General features: G+C 39.8%; 1 annotated feature.

Moving 5' to 3' along the window:
• Positions 5,486–6,685: an enhancer, noted in NCBI's record as "P300/CBP strongly-dependent group 1 enhancer chr13:43336737-43337936 (GRCh37/hg19 assembly coordinates)". NCBI's record gives its function as "activates an origin of replication core promoter dependent on BRD2, BRD4, P300/CBP, MED14 and CDK7 cofactors, with strong dependence on P300/CBP, by STARR-seq in HCT116 cells {active_cell/tissue: HCT116}" and the evidence as "EXISTENCE:reporter gene assay evidence [ECO:0000049][PMID:35650434]".

Genomic DNA, 10,865 nt, shown 5'->3' on the forward strand with positions numbered 1-10,865 from the left:
TTATGATGGTTTCCTTGGGACATAACCCTGTCATAAATCAAGGATTATCTGCACTGATACATACCGCAACATGAATGAACCTATGCTAAGCAAAAGAAGCTGGACACAGAAAGCCACATATTTTATGATCCATTTATATGAAATGCAAATCCATAGAGACAGAAAGTGGACTTGCATTCCTTCATTCTTGAAATGCTCTCTGTGTTAGTCCATTTTCACACGACTATAAAGAACTACCTGAGGCTGGGTAATTTATGAAGAAAAGAGGTTTAATTGACTCACAGTTCCGCATGGCTGGGGAGGCCTCAGGAAACAGAATCATGGTGGAAGGTGAAGGGGAAGCAAGGCATGTCTTATAGGGTGGCAGGAGAGAGAAAGAGAGAGTGAGAAGGGAACTACCACACACTTTTAAACCATCAGACCTCATGAGAATTCACTCATTCTCATGAGAACAGCATGGGGGAAACCGCCCTCATGATCTAATCACCTCCCACCAGGTCCCTGCCTCAACATGTGGGGATTACTATTTGAGATGAGATTTGGGTGGGGACACAGGGACAGACCATATCACTCTCCTTCCTGGGCTTCTGCAGTGAGTCTCTTCTGGGTCTCCTTACTAGCTTTCTGATGAGTTCTGCTTCAGGTGTGTCCTCCTCCATGTGCTCTTTCAGCACCATGGTCCTTGGTGGCCCTCATCTTCTCTCATTCCACATGCTCCTTCTTACAGAACTCACAACCACTGTGACAAATTTGCTGACACTATGACTTTTGAGCATATTCCTCCAACCTTCTTCCTAAAGCCCTCATGATCTACTTGGTTTAGATAATTACCTGTCTGCCTTCTATGTTCCCAAGTACTGTACATATATTTTTTTGCATATTAATCACATAGCATTTAATTATTTTGTCTGGAGGCTGCCATCTTATCTTTCCTTTTAAGTTTAATTTAATTTTCTTTTTTAGAGATAGAGTCTTACTCTGCTGCCCAGGCTGGAGTGCAGTGGTGTGATCATAGCAGCCTCTAACTCCTGGGGCTCAAACAATCTTCCTGTCTTGGCCTCTAAAAGCACTGGGATTACAGGCACGAGCCACCGTGCCTGGACTTGCCTTGTTTTTTAAAATATCCAGTGCTTAATACAGTTGTAGACAATGAGTGTTCATTATTGAATGGGAGAGGAAAATAGTAATAACAGCTAATACTTTTCTTGTGTTTACTGAATACCAGGCACTGTTTTGAGTTTTTTATTTGTATTAACTCACTCAACCACCACATAAACCCTTAAAGGCAGGAATGTTATCATGCCAATTTGAATGGAGAAACTGAGATTTAAAAAAAAAAAATTTAAGTAACTTTTTAAAGATCACATACATACCAAATGGTAGAGATAGAATTAGAACCCAAACATTGTGGCCACAAAGTCTGTGTTCTCAACCATTATGGTATATTGACATTGAGAGACTTGGATATTCCATTTTCCTCTTCCAAGCCCTCAAAATTCCAGTATGGCCAAATGAATACAATAGACTTTCTCTTTGACTCTGGCCATAGGAAATGATTTTTTCAGGGTCATTGTTCATAGTTTGTTTTCAGGGTCATTGTTCACAGTTTGACTAATATTTGTCAAAGTGTTAGTCAATCGATTGTATTGCCTAAGCCAAACTTTCTACACAGATAAGCATTACTGTGAATTCATTTGAAAACATTTATTGAGCACCTCATATGCACCACGCACAGTCGTGGGCATTGAAGATAGACTGGTGATCCAGAAATGAACCTGTCCTTTTGAGGCAGAACTTGGGAATAAAGACGTTTTCTACTTCCTACATATACTTGTCAATAGTTGCCCCAAAGTCTGTCTGCCAATTAACTTCTGATTAAACAAGAGTTGAGATAAATCTGTGATGCTGCCTGTATTAGTCAGGGTTCTCTAGAGAAACGGAACCAATAGGATAGGAGAGAGAGTGGGGTGGGTAGGAAGGGGAAGGAATATTTTATAGAACTGGCTCCCACAATTGTGGGGGCTGGCAGGTTTGAAATTTGTAGGGAAGGCTGGCAGGCTAGAAACTCGGCTAAGAGTTAATGTTGCAGCCTTGAGTCCCAAATCCACAGGGCAGGCCAGCAGGCTGAAAATTTAGGAAAGATTGTAATGCAAAATTCCTTCTTCTTCAGGAAACTTGAGGCAAAATTCTTCCTTCCTTGGGAAACCTTGGTCTTTGCTATTAAGACCTTCAACCAAGGTCCACCCACATTATGGAGGGTAATCTGATTTACTTAAGGTGCACTGATTATAAATGTTAGTCACATCTAAAAACTACCCTTATAACAACATCTAGACTAGTGTTTGACCAAACAACTGGGCATCCTAGTCTAGCCAACTTGACACATAAAATCAACCATCACACTGCCCATTAGCCACAGGTGCACAAAGTTGGGGAGGAAACATTTTAGAAGCTGTGAATACAAATGTTATCTCCAACTGAGGAAAAATGTTGTTAACTTAGAGGCTATTTTTTAATGCACTGTCTAAATTTACGAAGAATGCGCTTAAATATGCCTTTTTAAATTTTGTCTTCTAATTTGCAAATAACCCATACCACCTCCCTCCTTTGTACCCAAATACTCCCTTCTCTGAACAAATGATTGCATCTGCCATTTCACCTTCTGGAATGCCCTTCCTCTTCCTCATGAAAGGCATTAATCAAGACACTTGTCCTCCACTACATTTTCCATGATGCCTCTCGTCTAGCTGCAGGCTTCCTAGATGCTCCACAACTCATAGAGCTATAGAACTTTAGAATTTGAAGGGAGGATACTTAGTAGCCAACATAGTCAAATTTCCTCTTTTTACCTCTAAGGAAACTGGAGGCAGTGACTCTCCTGAATTTGAGGTGAAAGCAGGCCTAGAATTCAGGTCTATTCTCTGCTAGCCTCAGGCTTTTATAGATAGGGTAGGCAGGGGAGAACCATTGCATATTGGAAATAAAACTATCCTGATGGAATAGATGAGATTCTGCCCTGGATATAACTAGTAGACCTTGACCAAGATTTTTAATCTCCTGGAATGCCAGTTTCTTAATTTGTTAAATGGCTTAAATCAGTGCTTCTCAAACATAGATAGGCATATGGATCGCCTGGGATCTTGTCAAAACAGACTCTATTTCAACAGGTATGGGTTGAGGCCTGAGGTTCTGCATTTCTTTTTTTTTTTTTTTTTTTTTTGAGATGGAGTTTCGCTCTTATTGCCCAGGCTAGAGTGCAATGGCGCAATCTCGGCTCACCGCAACCTCTGCCTCCCAGATTTAAGCAATTATCGTACCTCAGCCTCCCGAGTAGCTGGGATTACAGGCATGTGTCAACTCGCCCGGCTAATTTTTGTATTATTAGTAGAGATGGGGTTTCTCCATGTTGGTCAGGCTGGTCTCGAACTCCCAACCTCAGGTGATCTGCCTGCCTCTGCCTCCCAAAGTGCTGGGATTACAGGCGTGAGTCACTGCACCCAGCTGAGGTTCTGCATTTCTAACCAGCTTTCAGTTGCTTGCCTACACTACTGAGTGCCTGGATTTTCTTTTGAGTAGATGGGCACAGATGATCTCTAAGCCCACTTTGAGCTTTACAACTCTGCGATGTGGTGATTCTATGATTGGAGATGGCAGTGTCAAAGGCATATAAAATGGGCTGTAGGGAAAAAAAATACTAAATTTTACCTACACTTCTCTGTACACTTTTGCCTACAGTATTTTCTTCTACATAGGATCACCATATATTCTAATTTGCCTGAGAAAGTCTTGGCTTATGCCTGTTTCCCATTCTGATTAATCGTAGAGACCCTTTCACTATCAAAAAATGATATGGTCACTTATCTTCTAAGTTACTTTTTCTCCTTATCTGTGTCCACAGAATACAGAATGCATTAGATTCCCACCATTTGCCTATTTCAAGCCAAGGAAAAAAGTGTGTTCCAGATAGTTTTTTTACACAGTACGTCAGAACCCCATGATTTGTGAATTGCTGTTTTGTTTCCCTACTAACAGCATAGTCAGTTCAGGAATTTTTGGCAAGGGCCTTTTGCGTCCAGCCCGCCCAAGATGTGGGACCCTGGGAAAAACTGCTTGCTGTTTGTTTTGTGGTGACTGACAGCAAAGCTCGCTTGAAAAATTAAAAGCTACATGGAAAATACCTCACGGGTGATTTTTCCATTCCCTAGTCTCACAGAATCCTTGTCTGAGTGTACAGTTCCCAAGTTCAGGGGCACCTTCAGGCAGTGAACTTCGATGCCCACCTATCTCAAGGCATTCCTCAAAGCACTGCATGAAGGGTGGGGTTCAGCCCCAAACCGTAAACCCCTCACCTACTGTTTCTTTGTCTACTTTCTTTTTTTTTTTTTGAGATGGAGTCTCGCACTGTCTCCCAGGCTGGAGTGCAGTGGCACAATCTCAACTCACTGCAACCTCTGCCTCCTGGCTTCAAGTGATTCTCCTGCCTCAGCCTCCCAAGCAGTTGGGATTACAGGCGCCCACCACCACACCAAGCTAATTTTTCGTATTTTTAGTAGAGACGGAGTTCCACTATGTTGGCCAGGCTAGTCTCAAACTCCTGACCTCGTGATCCTCCTGCCTCGGCCTCCCAAAGTGCCGGGATTACAGGCATGAGCCACTGAGCCCAGCCTCTTTGTCTACTTTCTGTCTTGCATTGTATTTCTCCAAAGAATCCCAATCAAGGGATTATATTCCCAGAAGCTTTAATATCAATTATTATTTATCTTTTATTATTAGCTAGTGAGAGTCAATAATAGCTAGTGGCCTTTATTCATTTTTCTATTCATTTAATAACTATTTGCTAAGTGCCTACAGTGTGCTAAGAGAAGATTATTTGACAGCTGAAATTAAGAACTGGACACAGGTTTAGTCTGTGGATCTTAGTCCCTAACTGAAAGAAGATGGGAAAGAGAGAGGGTTGTTAGTGGAAAATTGAAGGGGTAATAAACGTGACAGCCTCTTGTTTTCTACAATTGATTCAGAACATAAGTGCCTATGCATAAAAAGGAGAAAGAGACACGTAATTAATATCGGTCACAAAGGATTAGCCCACTGCTGGGCCATCCAGGAGACCTTGACCACCTGTTTAAACCTGCAACTCAGCCCCTAACTCGGAACTCCAAATCTCTGTGATCCTCTATTTTTTCCACTGCGCTTGCCTTATAATATATAATATAACTCACCTTTTTATGGTGTTTATTGTCTATCTTCCTCCATTGGAATGTGTGCTCCATAAACTGGTTGAGTAAGTGGCTCAGACCTGTAAAATGATGTCAGACACGCAACATTCCAGAATGAGCTGAAACTTGAAAACAATGTCAGAACAACAGAAAGGGATTTTTTTTAAACTGTGAAAAGTAAGAAGAAACAGATAAACACACAGAGGGTTGAGGAATGTTGAATACACTTTAACAAATGACAGAGAGCAGAATCACTCAACTCCTATTTTGCTTCTGTCTTCTCCAGGAAGAAAAACAAAATGGGAACTTGAAAGCACCAGGCAGAGTAAATAATATAAAGAAGGAATTGCAATTCAGAGCATACACTTTGCATGTATTCACATCTCCACACTAGCTGAATGGCATCTCAGGTAGTAAGTTTGATCAACATCAAAACCACCGTAGGCACTCTTGAACAACAGCAAGCGTGTGAGAGATTTTTCAAGTATCCCAATTTTCTAGAGGGAGTAAGAATATACTATTATATATGATTCATGCACAGTACATTGCAATTTTTTTGATGCAAAATTGAACAAGACAAGGTCCAGTGCTGAATTGCTGTATGCTCCTATACAGACATCATCTAGTTTGGTCTGAAGTCATTCATCAGTATTTTTTGAGTAGAGATGTTGAATAAGCTTTCTCCTAGCACACACCATCCTCAAGATTATAGTTCACATTCTTATTCCCAACAACATAATCAGAGATTTTGTTAAGTACAGTTTGTGCGTAGCATTCCTGTAACTGAGTAATGACCCTACTGAAAAGGAAATGAGGTAAGCGTGACATAACTTGGTCTTGGTGAGTCATCACTCTAAGTGATGACTGTTTTTCAAGTGATAACTGTTTGCCATGAAAGTCTAGATTTTTTCTAAAAATCAACATTTCATATATAAGATTTTCAGATCATGCAAAACATTTGGAAGTAACTAATACAAAAGATAACATAATCCACAATCAAAATTATTAGGGTTGGTGCAAAAGTAATTGTGGTTTTTGCCATTAGTGGTATTTGCCACTAGTGGTTTTTGCCATTAAAAATAATTTTTTATTTAAAATTAAAATTATTTTTAATGGCAAAAACCGCAACTACTTTTGCACCAACCAAATACTTTGACAGTGTTGAATGCAAGTGTAAAATCAAGAAGATAAAATTTAGTAAGGCAAAATGTAACAAAATATCTGTTTTACCATTACAGGATGAGGTGATCATCCCTGGAAGATTTTCTTGTGATGCTTTAGTTGATCATAAATTTAATATAATTTAACTTGGCTTATCCAGATGTGGCTTCTAAGAGAGCCAACATGGTCAAAGACAGTATAAAAAGGAGTACAATAGGCTGGGCACAGTGGCTCACGCCTGTAATCCCAACACTTTGGGAGGCCAAGGTGGGTGGATCAGCTGAGGTCAGGAATTCAAGACCAGCCTGGCCAACATGGCGAAATCCCATCTGCACTAAAAATACAAAAATTACCCAGGCATGGTGGTGCATGCCTGTAATTCCAGCTACTCAGGAGGCTGTGGCAGGAGAATCGCTTGAACATGGGAGGCGGAGCTTGCAGTGAACTGAGATCCCGCCACTGTACTCCAGCCTGGTTGACAGAGCAAGACTCCGTCTCAAAAAAATAAATAAATGAAAATAAAAAAATAAAAATAAAGTACAATATCCAAGTCATACGAAGTGACTGGGCTCATAAGAGTCTGGTCTGGTCACTCATGTGGTGTGTAGCCATGGGTGACATGTTTTGAAAGGCTGCTGACAATCTAAGGCAGTCTCTAAGAGCACAGTGAGATTTAGGAGTTTAGAAACCACATGGAGACTGGCTCTAATTGCCTCAAACAAGAAACTTGTTGTCAGTTTATGCCTTGTCAGGTTCTAAAGCTAGATTAGAGGCATGGAATGGCATAGGAAGTTCCTAGCGAGGTGGCAGTAAGAAGGAGAGCTGGGCTTGAGTGACAAGACCGAGGGAAGAGGCTATAAATTTACCTCCTGCACAGGAAAGGTGAAAGGGGAGCATAAGTCAGTGGTAAAAGAAAGGAGGAAGAATGACCTCATGCTGAAAAGGAACCTTCAATCTTTCTTCTTTTTTCCCTTTTCTGAGATCATGTAGGGAGGGACAGTAACATCAACAGTAAGAGCTACCAATATAGAGGCAGCCTAGTGTAGCGGTCAGCAGGGCATACTCTCGAACCAGGCTGCCTGCGTTTAAACCCTGGGATTACCACTTAGCTCCACAACTTTGAGTATGTCATTAAACCCAATTGTGCTACAGATTTTTCACCTATCAAATAGGACTAACAGTACTTAGCTCATGGGGTTGATGTGAGGCTTAAACATGATATATGTAAAGTTATTAGACTCATGCTTGACACATAAGCACTGTGCAAGTTTACCACAGATTAAGCACTTGCTGTAGCCTTACATTGTCACATCTAATGCTCAGAACAAGCCTGATATAAATGGGAATTGTTGAAATAATCTTCTTACAGATGAGGAAGCTAAAACCATTTGAGAGGTTAAGAAATCTGCCAAAAGGTATTCAGATAAAATAATATGGACTCGGGTTGTTCTGATTCAAACATCTGAGATCTTAATCTCTAGGCTTTACTGTCTCTAACTTGATGTCAGAATAACTAGGGAGCCAAGCTTGCGACTGCGGACAAACTGCCAAACCAGAGATAGTATAATTGCCTATAGATTTTGGAAGGGCTGAAGATGATACCCATAAGGTCTAATCTCCAACATTAGATGGAGTGGAAGGCTGGAGTTTTGACACTTGTGCCATTAGTTAAGGAGCAGAGTTCTAGGTATTACATCAAGGGATAACTATTAGGGGTAACATCATAAAATGTTTTCAGGTCAGCTTCACCAAGGTGAGCTATTTGCAACTGGAGCACTAGAACCAAATGCAGTAAAATGCGAAGGATATGCCAGGATGAAAAGCCATTTCTCATTATCTGCAAGGAAAATAAAGCTGTGTCTCATTAGGCCACTCTTCTCTGGGCTTCATATTGTATATTGAATAATCAATAAATGGTTTAAAAGCCAAAACAAAGGATACAAAAGCAGAAGATCCAGCAAAACTGGAAAAAAAAAAAAAAGGAAAATAAGCAACAAGCCTGATGGGGAATTCAACCACAGAAGATTTCAATCTACTACATCTGCAATTTGGGCTGCCAGGGACTTTCCTTAGATCATTAACGGCAATTCCAGGAAGCATATTTTAGTGGAAGTTCTCTGAATCAATATTTTTGGTGTGGAATCTCCTGATTAATTAATGGTGGTCTCAGTTATTTTGTGTACTTACCAAGATGGGTGTGCTCCCAAACCTGTTTATGTTATTGCACTTGTTATTGTAAATACATACTTTAATTAAATACTATATAAACACTTTAAATACTATAAAAACTACTGATTACAAGAATAGTTTCTACAAAAACTAACTTGAAAGACTAGGAAGAATTAATAAATGAGTCACGAAAAAAGTGCTTTACAGTAAGATGTGGATACTTGCAAAAGAAGGAAAAAATAATTAAAAGCTAGGATGATCCTGTATCCCATTTGTTTCACGAATGTCTTACAATATCTCCTTCCATTCTAAAGAAACAAAACCGGAAATCATGGATGATGCATTAAGAGTGTGTTTTATGTTAGTTAATGTGAAATCCCATTAGCCAAACAATCCAAGTCTTCTCAATGAGAGCCCTATTGACATTGTAGATAAGTTGGTTCATTTAGCAGGACTGTTCAGAATTGAGACATTTAGCCTTTTTGGTCTATGCCCACTAAACACTATGGTAGTGTAGCCTCCAGCCATTGGGACAATCAAAGATCCCTCTTGGCACAGTTCCAAATGCTCCTTGTAATTAACACAGTAGTTTTAGTACACCCTGCCAAATATGAGTGCTGCTTGTGCTCAAATAAAAAGCCCTGGCCCTAACTCAAAGAATACAAAATGAATGTATTAATATCTGTTTTAAATTAAAATAATACGTTTAAAACATATAAGCATTATTATCATTATTATTATTATTATTGTTTTTAACAACAGAATCTCCCTCTGTCTGGAATGCAGTGGTGCCATCATAGCTCACTTCGGTCTTGATGTCCTAGGCTCAAGTGATCCTCCTGCTTCAGCCTTCCTAGTAGCTGGAACTTCAAGCACGCAGCAATGCACCCAACTAATTTTTTATTTCTGTGTTTTATAGAGACATTGTTGTCCAGGCTGTTCTCAAACTCCTGGTCTCAAGCAATCCTACTCCCTGGGCCTCCCAAAGTGCTGGGATCACAGGCTTATGCCAACATGGCCAGCCATTATTTTTAAAATAATTCCTGCTTCAATTGCCTTCCTGTGATTACCCAGCCAGCTACTAGTCTTGATTGTTTTGGTTAAGGGTTCTTCTTCTACATCTGACTACACAGAGACTTTCTAAAAAATGTCAATATCACAGAAGTTACACACATGATACAAGGGATTGTTGAAGGAACTATTTTTCACCTTAAGAGGCAATAACTTAGAGAATATTACTGATTTCACGTATAGAAGGAACTATCCTGTATGAGGGGAATTAAGTTTCTTCTATGAGAATCCACATAGAATGTTCTAGAAATAACTGTTAAATTGAACAAAATGCAATAAAGACAACATGGTATAATAGAAAGAATAAAAGCCTTAGTGCCAACAAACCTGGGATAAATCCTGGCTCTATTTTGTATGATATATATACATTGTCAAGTTACTTCTCAAAGTCTCCATTAGTTTTCTTTCATAAAAACTATAAAAATAATATTTATCTCAAAGGGTTACGAAGAATAAATAAAATAGCATATCTTAAGTTTCTAGCACAGTTTCTGGCACATACTAGGCGCATAATAAATGGTAGTTCTCTTCCTCATCTTCTTCCCTAGTGCAAAGCAGAAAAAGAAAATTATTTGCTTAAACACACTGCATGTTAGTGCTTTTGTATTTAAAAATGTGGATAAAACTATAAAAATTCCTTTTTGATCACAACCCCACCTTATAGCAGACACTATTAACACTGTTCCTTGCCTATCTAAAAGCCATTTACCTCTTTCTTCCTTGTTAGCAGCTGTGTTAGTCCATTTTGCATTGTTATAAAGAAATACCCCAAGACTGGGTAATTTATAAAGAAAAGAGGTTTAGTTTGGCTCATGGTTCTGCAGACTGTACAAGAAGCACAGTGCTGGCATCTGCTTCTGGTGAAGCCTCAGGAAGCTTACAATCATCATGGAAGGTGAAGGGGAAGCGGGCATGTCACATGACAAGAAAGGGAGCAAGAGAGATGCCAGGCTCTTTTAAACAATCAGCTCTCATGTGAATTAATAGAGTGAGAACTCACTCATTACTGTGGGAAGGGCACCAAGCCATTGATAAGGGATCCATCCCCATGACCAAAACACCTCCCACCAGGCCCCACCTCCAATACTGGGGATCACAGTTCAACATGAGATTTGGAGGGGACAAATATCCAAACTATATCAGTAGTTTTGGATAAATGTTTTGTGTGTTTTCGATAAATATCTTTTAGCTTCTGGGAAGGTCAAGGTCACCTCCAGCCTAGGAATCGGCCTCAATCCAGTCCTTTTG

The sequence above is a fragment of the Homo sapiens genome, chromosome 13 (genome assembly GCF_000001405.40).
Source record: "Homo sapiens chromosome 13, GRCh38.p14 Primary Assembly".
Classification (NCBI taxonomy): domain Eukaryota; kingdom Metazoa; phylum Chordata; class Mammalia; order Primates; family Hominidae; genus Homo; species Homo sapiens.